General features: G+C 38.5%; 1 protein-coding gene across 10 annotated transcripts in view; it reads left to right on the top strand.

The window, feature by feature from the left end:
- DCBLD1 (discoidin, CUB and LCCL domain containing 1) overlaps positions 1-14,328 on the top strand; it is an 87,185-nt gene that overhangs the window by 42,207 nt on the left and 30,650 nt on the right. For 9 of the 10 annotated variants that reach the window (NM_173674.3, XM_047418676.1, XM_011535771.2 and 6 more), the window contains 4 exons: positions 482-554; positions 7,380-7,513; positions 12,305-12,345; positions 13,740-13,955. In NM_173674.3, the coding sequence (NP_775945.1) occupies positions 482-554; positions 7,380-7,513; positions 12,305-12,345; positions 13,740-13,955 (464 nt within the window). The remainder of the gene's footprint in view (positions 1-481; positions 555-7,379; positions 7,514-12,304; positions 12,346-13,739; positions 13,956-14,328) is intronic. The other variant, NR_158983.2, reaches the window with a different exon arrangement.

Consider the following 14,328-nt stretch of genomic DNA (forward strand, 5'->3'; position numbering starts at 1 on the left):
ATATTATGGCAATATTACAGTATGTATAACACGGAAAGTGAAAGTTCCTCACAATCCTACTCCCAGAGAGAATCTAGGGATATTCTTCTTTGTCTTTTTTATCCATAGAAAACAAAATTGTTACATATTTTAAACATTTCTTATAGAAACAAGATTATACTATATATAATGTTTAGAAATGTTCCTGTTTCTGAAAAATATTTATTGGAAGTCTTAGAATCAAGTAAAGTGCATTAGGGAAGCTCATTGTTTAATAGACTTTATGGTGAATCCTTATATAAAACTAATAATTATTGTATAAAAGTTGCCTTCAGATGAACATTATAGATCAATCTGTATTTTCACAAATCAGGTTTCTAATTTGCCATTAAAGCAAGATATTATATGGAGGGCAGAAAATACTTTAAAAATTTAAGTACAGTTTAATTTTTTTGGTTGTGTAATTTAATAAAATATAAATTATTTATTTTTCTTTTTCCAGCAAATTCTGCCCAGCTGGTTGTAGAGACGTAGCAGGAGACATTTCTGGGAATATGGTAGATGGATATAGAGATGTAAGTAATTGAGGGTAATGGCAGAGAATGAATTAAAAGGAGTAAGTGCTTTACTCTGCCTAAATTAATTACTGAGTAAAGTCAAATGAGATATAAAACTCTAGATAGATGCATGAGTCTCTCTCCTCTGAGAATAAATGAAATAAGTATAAAAACCAAGGTTACCCATGCATTCATTCCTATTAGCATTTCCAGCTAAGCTTACTATAAATGAAATGAAAAAACTTTGCCATCTCAGAGTATTATTCCATCCACTTTTTGTAAGAGGTTATAGATTTGCATCCTTTTTGTTATGGTTTATTTCTTTAACATTCCAACTGGTTCCTGTAATAGAGCAAAGGACATGAATATTCGTATCATAGAATAGTGACATTGTGTCTGGGGCCAGTGAAGCCATCCACCCTGCTCTTATTCGCCTTTCTCTTTGCAAACCAAGTTCTTATGTCCAGTAAGACTACCTGGGTTATGTAGTAATACATTGTTCCTGCATGTTGTATCTCAGATACATAATCCTCCACTTGTTTCTATTTACAGAAATCTAGTATCTGATTTTTTAAAAATTTACATTGCTATTTGAAGTAGTTGGGTTTATAGCCTAGCTTTTGGAAAGTGCCTGAGTTATTAGAAATCTATAGCAAAAACCTATTGTTGTGAAACTGTTCTTAAAGTTATTAACGTGTATTTTTATGCCTGTGGGAAAATAACCTTTATCTACTTGTTCTAGGTGATTGATAAATCCTCTGTGGCATAGGGAAAAAGTTTGACTGTGATTTTCTCTTTTAGCACATTCTGATTCTGGGAACAGCAGATTTTGTTATTTTGCCTTTCGTTCCCCTTTTCTGTTTTTTTATTTACAAGATTGACACTGGATACTCATTTGACCTATAAATTGACTCTTAAAATGTTTTACACTATTTCAGTTTGAAGATTTACTTGGCTCAGGCAATTCTTAAATGACTACAGGGAATTAAGAGAAATAAAAAGTTGACATTTTTTCCCAGCAATAGAAAGTTTTTATTTATCATTTTCCTGTTCTATGCAAGAAATGTAAGAATTATGTACAATAAGAGAAATAGCATAGTTTTTTCTTAATGTAGATATTTATCTTACCTCCTCCTGACAGAGCTATATTTTTTAGCATAACAGGTAAATGGTTTCCTGCATGGTAGATGGGAGTACATGATCCCTAAGTGCTGGCAAACAGGTTTCCTATTTGACCCACTAACTGATTTTGCACTATTTGCTTTTAGAATGATTTTATCTGCAAGGAAATTTTGTGTTTTGAAAGCTACTCTCTTCAAAGAACTCGGATTAGTGCCTTTTTTGTGTATGTCAATGTCATGGATGTATTAGATATTTATTGCTGCATAATAATATTACCATAAACTTAGAGGCTTAAAGTGGCACATATTTATTATCTCATTTTCTGTGGGTTAGGAGACTGGACATGGTTTAGCTGGGTTCTCTGCTTCAGGGTCTTATAAAGGTGCAACAAAGGTGTCAGCTGGGGCTGCAATCTCATTGGAGGCTCAGCTGGGGAAGGATCTGCTTCTAAGCTCATGTGGTGTTGACAGCATTCAGTTACTTGTGTGTTATTGGATTGAGGGCCTCGGTTTCTTCCTGGATTTTGGCTGGAGGCCATCCTCAGTTCTTGCCATGTGGACCTTCCCAACGTGGCCACTTGCATCCTCAAAGCAAACAAGGGAGAGTCTTTGAGCAAAGGGATCTCCTAGCAAGATAGATTACACTCTTATATAATGTTATCATGGGAGTGGTATCCCATCACTTTTGCCGTATTCTTATAGACTTAGAAGAAAATCTCAGCCCCCACCCACACTCAGGGGGATTCAGAGGGATTCCACAAGAGGGGATACAGGGAGCAGGGATCATGGGGGTTATCTTAGAGTCTGCCTCCACAGTGCCTTCATCTTGGGAAATGCGTTCAGTTGTAGCAAGTCTTTTCAGAAGAATCTTTGCAAAACCAAAGCATATCCTATAGGTCAGGATAACAGAATATGTAAAATAAATAACTAGAGGAGCTGTTGAAGAAGGAGGTACCCTGTCTCAGGGAAGAATATGTTGTCTTACAGAGCTATTATAGAAAAGGCATTGGTTTATTCTGTGTTGCTCCAAAAGGCAGAACTGGGATCAGTGGATAAAAGTTACAGGGATGCCAATTTCAGCTGCATATAAGGAATAATTGAACAATGCAAAATGGGATAGGCTGTCTCGAGAAACAGTGATTTCCTAGTCACTGAAAATGTCAGGTGTAGATGTTAAAACCATTTGTCAGGGATAGACTGTCTTTGTGTGGGAAAGGTGCTGTAGAGTGGAGATGGGGGTGGTCTGTCAGGAGGTGTGAGGGGGGAACTTTAAAGTCCTTTTTGAATTTTTGAGATTCTGTAATTCTGTCTCCTACTGACAAATTAAGGCATCCAAATTGGTGTATGTTTCCAATGCCAGTGAAGGAATATGGGCTTCTCTTAAGATCTGCCTCACCTGCCCCCAGAACAGTTTTTCTCTTGGCACCTTCTCCCCAGCCTGCTAACTAAACCATCTGTTTTTAAGCAGAACATATCACTTAATTAATTTGTTTCAGCAATTCTCCTCTCCCCAAAATGTTCAAGAAGTACTGTAAAATAGAGACAGTAAACATGTAGTGCGCTGCAGTTTAGGAGGAGAAGGGGAGAAACTGGGCCTCTTGTACACACCCAGAAAAAGCCAGAAGGAATACATTATAATGGCAAGTGATTATCTCTGGGTAATGACAATATGAGTGATTTTTTTTCATTATTTCCAGCATTTCTATAAAGAATGCACATTTTGTGAAGAAAACATTATTGACATGGTAATTAGGAGGACTGTAACAGCACAGAAATAATTCATATGATGGAAAGGGGAATATATTTGATAATTTAACATTTTGCTATCATTCCACCAACATTTTTAAGCATGTGTTTTATTCTACCTTACTGGTTTTGGTTCATGTTTTATTAAATGCAACCTAAAATGTTTACTTTTTTGTTACACTTCCTTTTAAAACATTGCCAACACTGTTTTAGTACAAGTTGATTTTTCCTAAAGGAAGAGTTAAGAAAATTCTGGGATGATTTGATAGTTGCTTGAAAGTTGTTTAGCCTTAGTTCACACTAATCTGTTTGGCCATCATTTATGGCTTAGTGAACTTCAGAAATGTTTATTGTAGATAATGCCATCCACCTGCAATTGCCTGAGGCATGAAGGTATTCTCTTCAGCTGGCCATTGCATTCCCTTTCCTAAAGAATTATTACATTTACATTATTCTGTTTAAGTATATTTTGTTTAAGATAATTTACTAATTAAAACCATTTGTCAGGGATAGCCGAACCTCTTAGAATCAAGTAAAATGCATTAGGGAAGCTCGTTGTTTTTTGTTTGTTTTTTGAGACAGAGTCTCGTTCTGTCACCCAGGCTGGAGTGCAGTGGTGTGATCTTGGCTCACTGCAAGCTCCACTTCCTGGGTTCACGCCATTCTCCTGCCTCAGCCTCATGAGTAGCTGGGACTACAGACGCCTGCCACCATGCCCGGCTAATTTTTTGTATTTTTAGTAGAGACGGGGTTTCACTGTGTTAGCCAGGATGGTCTCGACCTCCTGACCTTGTATCCACCTGCCTTGGCCTCCCAAAGTGCTGGGATTACAGGTGTGAGCCACTGTGCCCAGCCAGGAAGCTCATTGTTTAATAGACTTTATGGTGAATCCTTATATGAAACAAATAATTATTGTGTAAAAGTTGCCTTCAGATGAACATTGTAGATCAATCTATATTTTCACAAATCAGGTTTCTAATTTGCCGTTAAAGCAAGATATTATACGGAGGACAGAAAGTATTTAAGTACAGTTTAGTATTTTTGGTTGTGTAATTTAATAAAATATAAATTATTTATTTTTCTTTTTCCAGCAAATTCTGCCCAGCTGGTTGTAGAGACGTTCTGCTCTACAGAGCAGAATGTACATAGGCTAGGTACATATGCTAGGTAATATGTACCCATGTACATGGGTTAAGTAATATGGCTTTCCAATATTTACATTTCAGTGAGACTTAGACTTCAAAATAGCTAGAAAATAAAAGTATAAATTGTACCATCTGTTCAAAAGGGAATTTTCAAAAATCAGGTTCAATAAATGTGAATTTTAAAAATCAGTACCAAAAAAGTGACAAATAAACATCAATTTCCTTTAAGTTGGATGGATGAGGGAGTGACTATTTTAAAGAAAATAATCCTGGAAAATGCTGGTAATTTTATCATAATAATATGATAGTGAGACTTGATGGCTAGTCTTTTGGAGATGTATCCTATAGCCTACAATTAATATTAAAAGAAATGGCAAAACCCACAATTACTTTTGCATCAACCTATTATGGAAAGCCATAGCTGCAATTAAATAAAAATTTTATAAAAAAGGTATTCACCATTGAATTCCTTCAATACTGGGTACTGTGAGAAACGAGAATATTTGTTGGCCAATGATGCTGTTAGATCCTGTTGCTCGTTGGCCTGTGAACCTGTCATCTTACAGCCAAGGAGGCCCTGGGACATGCCAAGTCCAGTGAGAGCTCTCAATAGGCAGGGTTCCTAGTATGAAGACCGGGGATCCCAAGGACAGTGGGAATAGCTGCTCAGCAGACCACTGAACTGATCTGGTTTTCATTCTGGGGTTTAGCGAGGGAGACAGGCCTGCATGGGTCCTATAATATAAACGGTGTACTGGGTACCCTTTAGAATCACAAGGTGACAGACCTTCAGAAAAGACACTAGACCAGCAGTCCCGAACCTTTTTGGCAACAGGGACCACTTTTGTGAAAGACAGTTTTTCCACAGACGGGGTGGGGGATGGTTTCAGGATGAAAGTGTTCCACCTCAGATCACCAGGAATTAGATTCTCATAAGGAGCACACAGCCTAGATTCCTCACATGCGCAGTTGTCAGTAGGATTTGCACCCCTGTGAGAATCTAATGCCTTTGCTGATCTGACAAGAGGTAGAGCTCAGGCGGTAATGTGTGCTTGCCCACTCCTCACCTCCTGCTGTGTGGCCCGGTTCCTAACAGGCCACTGACCAGTACCAGTCCACAGCCTGGGGGCTTGGGGACCCATGCACTAGACAACATCCAGTCCAGGCTTGTCATTGTCCAGAGGAATGGGAAGCCAGGTCAAGAGCAGTGGAATGACTTGCATATACTTTGTGGAGTTAGAGGCAAAGCCAGGATGACAAGATAAATTGCTAAATTTAAATTCAGGACTTTTCCTCTTCAACTGGCTCCTCTGTTTTGTTTGGACCCAGGAGTCCAAACTGATGATAAGAAAGCTTTTTAATGAAAGAAAATTCAGGAACAATATACAGAAAATTCAGGAAAGATGAAAAAGCAACCTGCATTCTTATTAAAGAGTACGATCTTTACGATCTTTTTCTCTTCTAATTTTAATTCTTTTTTTCCTCCAAGATTAGGGAGGGTAGTATTTGCATCTGTTTCAGTATTCTCATTTTTTTTCTTTCTGTGGTGAAATCTTTCCTCTCTTTTGTTAGGATAGCAGTTATTGCAAAACTGACTCACTTTGCCAAACCTAATCTAGTTTGGGAAATATGAACTCTCTAAATTGAATATCACAAAATTCTCAACTTTATTGCAACTATATTGCAAAATATGATTTGTCTCATTAGTCCTTATACTGTTGTAACTTAAGTCTAAGGGAACTTTTCCATTGTAAATAAGGTAAGCAGCATTGTCATTAACAAAAAGAGAAATTCTTGAGTCCAGTTACTGAGATAAATTTCATGAGCTGCCTTTCTATGTTGGCATTAATAGTCATGAAGAAGTGGAGCATAGCTAAGGTTTATTTAGGAAATTATGTTTCTTATCCCCTCACTCCTGGGTCTGAGTGCCTTAACACTCTTCCACAGAGGTCTACACTTGGGGACCCACAGGCCTGGGCACCCCATAGAAAGTTCTAGTCGTTTCTGTAGCGCCACTTCCTGACAGAGCCGATTCCAATCCCACAACCGCCTGTAAATCAGAGCCAGTCTGCTGTTCCTGCTGCATCTGTCAGAACAGCCAGCAGCCTGCTGAGACCTCACACTGAACATCGCAGGGCTGAGCTGGCACTGGCTTTTTGATGCCTCCTGAGGGGATTCAGGAAGTGAGATGGAGGCTGTCAGCCCTGAGTTGCTCATCATCCCTCTAGGAACTTCGTTAAGCTTTCTGTTCCATTTAATGTTCTGTGGCTGTCATTACCATTGTGGTTTTGGTACCTTGATAAATCTCTAATTTAAAAATGAACATGTGGAATTGAAAGTTCAGCTTCTTAAATGATAACTTGGCATGTGTGTCTAATAGCCTAAGTATAAGAAACTGGATCTGTTATCGATTTCTGCTTAACAAGCCACTCCAAAACTTAGTGGCTTAAAGTAGCAGCCATTTTATTTACTGATGAGTTTGAGGGTGAGCAATTTGCCTCCACCCACACTGGATTGGATTAGTAAGCTCCCTTAGCCTGGAATCACTCTTGTGGCTGCCATCATATGGCAGGTTAACTGGGGCTCAAGAGTCTAAGGTGGCTTCACTCACATGTGTAGCAGTTAGCTAGGCCCTGTTATCTGCAGCAGAACAAAGCAAGTCACATGGTCCAGAGTCAGTGAGGGAGGTGACAACTCCAGGGCATGGCCATTGGAAGGCTTTATTCATTGGGGCCACTACTATAAATTACCACAGAAACAAAATAGAAAACTCCAACTATATTTTAACTGTGTTCTTTTAAGTTCTGCATAATGATGTTGCTGTGTTTCAGACCTCTTTATTGTGCAAAGCTGCCATCCATGCAGGAATAATTGCTGATGAACTAGGTGGCCAGATCAGTGTGCTTCAGCGCAAAGGGATCAGTCGATATGAAGGGATTCTGGCCAATGGTGTTCTTTCGAGGGAGTAAGTATTTTTTTTCAGTATCGTTTGTTCTGAGTAGAAGGTAACCCTGAAGGATAATTAACCAGCTCACAACTTTGAAAAGACAGCAGGGATGTGATAGCAAGGGTTTGTCAACTGGAAAAATATGCATGAGTGCTTAGAGCAGCATTTCTGGTCTCTGCATGGATGATAAATGTAGCAATCAGAAAGCTCACTGGTTATGCTGACATGTAAATTAAAATGGCACACTCTGAAGCCCTGGGGCAGAGGAGTGTTTTTACTCTCAGGTGCTTTTGTGGGAGAAAATAAAGGCTTAATCCTTTTTGGGTTTTTACAGCTTCTATAAGTTACTGGTTGTCTCCAATGTTATCATCATCTGAAACCCTTACAGAACCACTGAGCTCCCTAGAACACTCCTAGAGACAGTTGTTTAGTGATGAGTTTGGGAAGTGAAGAAAGATGGCCTTTGTTAACACTGTTTAAAAAGATGGCCTTTGTTAACGTTATATTCTTCGTTTGTTTTTATCCTGTGCTCTTTTAGCTTCATGAGAAAAAAAATGTGTTAAGTGCTTTAAATGGTTCAACTTAATCTTTTCATATTTTCAGATTTCCTCAGCCATTAGAAGGTGTAAAACTAGAGCTGTGTAGAACTCAGTGTCAGCCTACCCTGTGGTCCAGACGTCCACACATATAAACAGGCAGTTCAGAATGGCCAAGTGGGAGACACTCCTGGAGTGGAAACCTAGTGAGAGAAAAGTGCTCCTTGAGCCACTGTATTTCTCTCTCTCATTCTCTCCTTCTGCCTTCTGCAACTGTTTTTTGGACAGGTTTTCATATGGCCTGGGTTCCAAGAATAAGGCACAAGACAGAGGTTTTAGGCGTTTTGGGATCCAGAAGTGGGGGAAAAAATGTCAGGACCTATATATTCTATCACTCATTAATCTGTATGACATTCTCCCCCTGCCCTTGCTATTTTGTCCTAGCCCCCTCTTGCATCAGAAGGAACATGGTCGTATTTTGCTGTTCCATTTTCACAATGGATGATGGGCCATCTTATCTTGGATAGGTTCTCAAGTTAGTCGGCATAGATATGGTGACTCTGATGTTATTTTGATAATTGTTTAGTAGTATTTTCCTTCCCCCTCCTACTTTTTATTTAAGTGTATTTTAGTTAGCAATGTCATAGGTCAAATAGGTATCCTGACCACAAGTTATAACATTGCTTTTATTGGAAAATGTGTCTTAAGTTCTGAAGAACCGACTTACGAACTCACATATAAACTTTGGGACTAACACCCATTTTATGATTGAGGTTGTTGGCCCATGTTCATAGGCAGTGGCATTTAGAAGCAGTAACTGAAGTTAAGGGAGATTACAGGGTTAGAGTCAAGACTGAGGAGCAATGTTAGAGAGGGGTGGTGGTGGCCATCAGCACACCATGCTCACGGCCAGGAGGCTGGCTGGTGGGTGTCTGTGGAGAAAAGGCAGAGCCTCTCACTGGCAATTCTGAGTTCAGGGGTCGGGGTGAGAGTAACTAGAGAAGATGTTCCAACATAACTCTTTCACAAGCAATGCAAGTAGTACTGTACGTAATCCACAAAAGACTTCCATCCACCAAGGACAGCAGTGCATGCCGTGCACTTGGACATGCAGGCTTACCTCATGATATTTGTGTTCTCTGCCTACCATAACCCTCCCATTTACTTTCCCCTTCTGGATAGATTTTTAGCTATGAGAGGACACAAAGTATTCTTTTCATATTGCCTGAACATTCAAAGACAAATTAGTCTCTAAATTTGTGCCAAGGTTTAAGATCCAAAGGTTTAGTAACAGTATGCTATTAGAAATTAAAATCTTCACTCAATAAAATTATACATATATACACACACATATATATAACATTTTTCACATAAATATTTGCCACATACTTTTCAGAACATTAAATTTTATTTTAAAGTTTACATCCTGATTTATAGTAAAAGTGATCACTTATGCACAGTAAACCTTTAAATGCCAACTTGAACTTGACTTTTGAGAATGTATTCCTTTTTATGTTTTTTGATGGTTTCTTCTGTTGATACGAGGGTGCTACTTCAGGAAGATAACAGGCTCTAGCCTGAATTTGTCAGGTGCTACCACCTCCAAACAGGGACAAAGAACTTCCCTTTGGCTCTCAATCTGTTTTTTGGAATCGTTTGTCTGTATTTGTATATCTTTGAATGCCCCTTTTGTAGGAAAACAGGATAACAAAAAGTTTAACTTGGATTTTATCTTACTTTTGAACAAACATTATTAAAACTATTTAATAAATTAGACTTTACGTTCTCAGTTAACTTCTGCTACATCAACTGGACTTAATACATACATATATAATATATTTTATATAATTTGAAAAGTATATATTATATATTTTATATAATTTGACGTTAAACTTCCATGCAAAAAGTAGAGTACACAAATGTAAACCATTAGTGAATTAGAAAGGGTTTTGCTTCATATTCCATATAATTATTTGTACTAATTGTCTCATTTTTATTTTGGGGGGAGTAGATAGAAAGTTCAGAATTATATCAAGATCTCTTATTTCTAGATCTGTGATTTTGCACTGAGCAAATAGTTAACTGTATGTTCACACAGCCTCTTCCACTCATTTAGATTTGAAATCTTCAGGGAGCAGTTGTTTTCATCTGTGTTGTTTTACTCCTGGGGAAACACTGTACATGCGGTCATTGAACTTATGTTCCCACACATGATTGTTTGGCATTCAGGAAAAACCAGAGAAGGAAGTATTGCAGCTGAGGAAGAAGGAGTCCCTAAAGTAAATATCCAGGGGTCTTCTGGGATTCATCTCCGGTCAGGTCATTTCCTTGATTTGAAGAGACCAGAATGGTATCAGGAAGAGAGACTGACCTCATACAGAGGACGATGGTGCTAACCATCAGAAGTGAAAACCTTCTTTCTGTTTCCATCAGATTAATCTTGATTGCTTCTGTAGCCCTCTGGGAAGCCTCCTTATTCCTGTAATCTGATTGAATTCATTCACTCTAATGTGTGAATGCTTCAGAACCCTAACCTCCCTAGGGTGTTTTTAGTTTTAAAAGAGTAGGCTTATTAACCTATAGAATTCTTTAAGTGGTCTGTATTTAATTCGTTCAATGGAATGAAATGGAAAAACATTTTCCAGTTGATAACGGAGGAAAGCCAGGCAGAGAGCTGTTAGAAGTAGAGCTTTTCCTGGTTTCTTCTCAGGATTAACTCCAAAGGTATCCTTTCCATACTTTTTGGTCAACAACAAAATTAATGTTTCATGGCAAGTGAGCTTAGTTTCTTAGGGTCGCCGCAGCATTATTTAGGCTTATTTGAGCCACATTTCAAATGTAACAGCGTAGGAACGTTAGAGAAAATGGAAAAAGAGACAAAAGAGAGGCTCCACATAAATCTTAATACAATTTTAATATGATTAGCGCCTTTCTTTAAGTGTCAGGAGAGTTCTCATCCAAGCTTTTTTGCTAACTGTGAACTTAGGCAAGTCCCAGGACCCAAGTGGGTCTGAGTTTTCTCATGTAAGTAATGATTGGTGCCTGCATTATATTCAGTGCAGAGATTATAGAAGAACCTAGATGTGGAATACCAGGGTTTATGGAGTCTGCCAAGCATAGACAATGTGAAAGAGAAAATCTATTCTAGAGAGTTTTACTACCCATTACTTCTAAAAAGAGCTTTTGATGGGAAGGTACTTAGACTCTTGGCCAGAGTACTTTGGGGTTCTTTGTGGATTTCATGTTTTAGTACTCTCTGTGTCCATTATTCCCATCTATAATTCAGAATTAAACATTTAAAATAATAAGCAGCACTCTGAGATTGTAAAATAGTTGTAAAAAGTTGGACACAACAGGGGCATCTACCTTTTGGTGTTTACCTCTAGTATCTAATACTGTGCACATAAAGCTAATGTTGAGGCCCCCAGATTTTCCATTCGTTCTCTGTATTTTTCATACCACTGACTTTGTGAGGGATTATTTTAAAGGTTGATCTGGTCTTCAAAGGTAGATAAGGACATTCCTGTGGCCTTAGGAATGTCTTCTGCACTGAAGGAGACAACTGCAGAATGAGGCTGATGCAATCATTTCTCCTGTGATAGTGATAGAAGCGGCAGTAAGGCCAGCTCACTGACATGCTGTGTGTTTTCTCCAGCTGTACCTTGTCATCCAGAAGCAGGAGCTGGTTCAAGACTTGGTGCTGGTTGCTACAGTAGGTAGGAGTGTGGCCGTGGAGAGAGAGACAGGGCAGAGACTGTCCCCAGAGTAACACTGCTGAAACATCCTCAGTGAGAGTCACGAGATCTGTGGGGAAGGCAGATGGAAATGAGTGGGACACTTTAAGGTGACTGCTGAAACAAAGGGAGATTTCAGGGCAGTAATCCTTTCTGTCTTCATCATCTTGCAATAATTAATTGAGATGTAAGGTTATTCCTGAGGCTGTATATCTACACATTCCTTTCCAATAAATTCAGCATGGTGGAAATAGCACAGGATTCTGATTCAAAAGCAGCATCTCAGAGTCCTAGCCCCTTTCCTAGCCCCTTGTCACTTATATGAATTTAGGAAAGTTGCTTACCTTCCGTGGGCCTAAGTTTCCTGTTCTATAAAATACCAGTGATGAAGATAATAGCAGTAGGTTTGCAGGGGTGTTGTGAGGATCATGTAAGGAAGCACAGGTGGGAAAGTTCTGTGAGCCCTGGGATGTAGCTATATTAGTCACTAAGATGTAGGTGAGCAACTTACCTTCTCATGTTTGTCTTTATTGTTTCAGTGGTTCCCTGTCAGACAAGCGATTTCTGTTTACCTCCAATGGTAAGGATCATGCTTTCCTTAAGAATTTGATATTTTCGGTGGCTCACGCCTATAATCCCAGCACTTTGGGAGGCCGAGGCAGGCGGATCATGAGGTCAGGAGATCGAGACCATCCTGGCTAACACAGTGAAACCCCGTCTCTACTAAAAATACAAAAAATTAGCCGGGCCTGGTGGGGGGCGCCTGTAGTCCCAGCTTCTCGGGAGGCTGAGGCAGGAGAATGGCGTGAACCCGGGAGGCGGAGCTTGCAGTGAGCTGAGATTGCGCCACTGCACTCCAGCCTGGGTAACAGAGCGAGACTCCATCTCAAAAAAAAAAAAAAGAATTTGATATTTTAAAAGTCTTCAGTAGTAGTTTATTCCTCCATACCCTTCAGATTATGTAGTTTAAAAGGTTGTTTTTTTTTTTTTTCCTTTTTTCTCAGGTTACATAGCACCTTTTTTTTTTTTTTTTTTTTTTTTTTTTAAGGAGGCAGAGTCTCATTATGTTGCCCAGGCTGATCTCAAACTCCTGGGCTTAAGCGATCCTCTTACTTCAGCCACCCTCACCAAATCTTCTTGACTTAACCATCCACAGGACAATAAGCCTAATTAACATTAAGCAGAAAATATGTTTCTTTATAATCTAAACTCTCAAACTTTTGCCAAAAAGAATAAAAAGTGAAATATTTATTTTAAAATAAATCCCTTTATCTTAGATTTTAAGAGAAAAAGCTTTCAAATATTGCAATTGGTTTGTTATTATTTTGAATAAAGTTACTGAAAATGAGTATATAAAATAAAGGCTTTTGAGCTTCTCCATCATGGAATGTATTCTATGTAAATATTCTCCCTTAGCATAAACCGTTTCAAGGAAAACACTACAAATATTTCTTCTTTGCCTTTATTGCTGCCTTCACATTGGTATATTGGGCATGGTATAGTTAAGGTCCTTTGGATGAATATTGGGTACAACTTACTGATGTTCAGACGACTTAGACACATCTGCTTTTCAAGTATGTGGAAAAAATGGGGTTCCCATCTGATTCTAAATCTTTTAAAGTGAGAAGGAACACATCATTTTAAACCTTTAACACAGATTGCATTTTGTTGAAATCAGGATGAATATAGAAGGTTAGAAAATAAAATCTACAGTGGGGACGAAGAGGTGTCACTTATAAAGGATGTGACTTGGAGGTCTATTAAAAAGAAAAGCAATAACAGTTTCAAGGCATGGTAGTACAAATGAGTGAAATGCAAGTCTGGACCGTTTAAAAGCTGGTAATTAAACACTTTATTCCATATCAGAATAAAAGTCAACTAGTTGAATATTTCTAGGTGAGATGTGGTACTACTTTTTTTTTTGCTGTTATTTTATGTCTGTATCTAAAATATCTTACTGCACTCTTTTTTCAGGTTGCAGCAGATCCTTGAGTTTTGAACCTGACGGGCAAATCAGAGCTTCTTCCTCATGGCAGTCGGTCAATGAGAGTGGAGACCAAGTTCACTGGTCTCCTGGCCAAGCCCGACTTCAGGACCAAGGCCCATCATGGGCTTCGGGCGACAGTAGCAACAACCACAAACCACGAGAGTGGCTGGAGATCGATTTGGGGGAGAAAAAGAAAATAACAGGTGCAGAAAATAACACAAGTGCCAAGTGCAGGAGTAGTTTCATGACTGTAAATGACTCGTAGTTGAAAATACGCTTATTGTTTACATAGGTGCTTCTCTACCTACCTCCAAGTTCTTGAAATATTTGAAAATGTAACAAATCTTTACATTCTTTCTGTGAAAAGAATCTGTATGCAAGTTGTAAATATGGATATATGGATTAGAGAGATAATTCTTCAATGGTGAAATCTTTATATGGTGTATTGTCAGTGTGAAAACATTAATCTGTGAAGAGATTTTTAAATGCAACTAATATAAGTTGGCCTGTGAGATGATCTGAGGTTTCAAATGAGGGAGAAAAAAATGAAACTTGAAATTATAATAGATGTTATAT

This window comes from Homo sapiens, chromosome 6 (genome assembly GCF_000001405.40).
Source record: "Homo sapiens chromosome 6, GRCh38.p14 Primary Assembly".
Taxonomy (NCBI): Eukaryota; Metazoa; Chordata; class Mammalia; order Primates; family Hominidae; genus Homo; species Homo sapiens.